A 1,399-nucleotide genomic window follows, 5' to 3' on the forward strand; every position below is an offset into this window, starting at 1 on the left:
ATTCCTGCTGGTGGGCTCTTGGTCTCGCTGGCTTCAGGACAGAAGCTGCAGATCTTCGTGGTGAGTGTTATAGCTCATAAAAGCACCATGGACCCAAAGAGTGAGCAGTAGCAAGATTTATTGCAGAGTGAAAGAACAAAGCCTCCACAGCGTGCGTGGAAGGGGACCTGAGACGCTTGCCACTGCTGGCTCGGGCAGCCTGCTTTTATTCTCTTATCTGGCCCCACCCACATCCTGCTGATTGGTAGAGCCAAGTGGTCTGTTTTGACAGGGTGCTGATTGGTGGGTTTACAATCCCTGAGCTAGATATAAAGGTTCTCCAAGGCCCCACCAGAGCAGCTAGATACAGAATGTAGATTGGTGCACTCACAAACCCTTAGCTAGACACAGGGTGCAGACTGGTGTGTTTACAATCCCTGAGCTAGATACAAAGGTTCTCCACGTCCCCATCAGATTAGTTAGATACAGAGTTTCGACATAAAGGTTCTCCAAGGCCCCATCAGAGCAGCTAGATACAGAGTGTCGATTGGTGCACTCACAAACCTTGAGCTAAACACATGGTGCTGATTGGTGTATTTACAATCCCTGAGCTAGACATAAAGACTATCCACCTCCCCACCAGACTCAGGATCCCAGCTGGCTTCACCTAGTGGATCCTGCAACAGGGCTGCAGGTGGAGCTGCCTGCCAGTCCCGCGCCGTGCGCTCGCACTCCTCAGCCCTTGGGTGGTCGATGGGACTGGGCGCTGTGGAGCAGGGGGTGCTGCTCGTCGGGGAGGCTTGGGCCGCACCGGAGCCCATGGAGTAGGTGGGAGGCTCAGGCATGGCAGGCTGCAGGTCTGGAGCCCTGCCCCGCGGGAAGGCAGCTAAGGCTCGGTGAGAAATCGAGCGCAGCGCCGGTGGGCTGGCACTGCTGGGGGGACCCAGTACACCCTCCGCAGCCACTGGCCTGGGTGCTAAGTCCCTCATTGCCTGGGGCCAGCAGGGCTGGCCGGCTGCTCTGAGTGTGGGGCCCGCCAAGCCCAAGCCCACTCGAAACTCCAGCTGGCCCACAAGCGCCGCACACAGCCCCGGTTCCCGCTCGCGCCTCTCCCTCCACACCTCTCTGTAAGTTGAGGGAGTGGGCTCCAGCCTTGGCCAGCCCAGAAAGGGGCTCCCACAGTGCAGTGGTGGGCTGAAGGGCTCCTCAAATGCCGCCAAAGTGGGAGCCCAGGCAGAGGAGGTGCCGAGAGCAAGCAAGGGCTGTGAGGACTGCCAGCATGCTGTCACCTCTCAGTTTGACTTGCTACATGTGTTATGATTTTTCCTTTTTTTGCTTTTTATAATGGAAAATTTTCAAACACACAAAAATAGGACAATGAAGCCTTGTGTACCCATACCCAGCTTTAATAGCTACCAAC

At 56.3% G+C, this 1,399-nt stretch overlaps 1 annotated feature.

Moving 5' to 3' along the window:
• Nucleotides 279-962: an enhancer, noted in NCBI's record as "H3K27ac-H3K4me1 hESC enhancer chr14:78479894-78480577 (GRCh37/hg19 assembly coordinates)". NCBI's record gives its function as "activates a minimal SCP1, AML or CMV promoter by ChIP-STARR-seq in naive H9 embryonic stem cells {active_cell/tissue: H9 hESC(naive)}" and the evidence as "EXISTENCE:reporter gene assay evidence [ECO:0000049][PMID:30033119]".

This window comes from Homo sapiens, chromosome 14 (genome assembly GCF_000001405.40).
Source record: "Homo sapiens chromosome 14, GRCh38.p14 Primary Assembly".
NCBI lineage: Eukaryota > Metazoa > Chordata > Mammalia > Primates > Hominidae > Homo > Homo sapiens.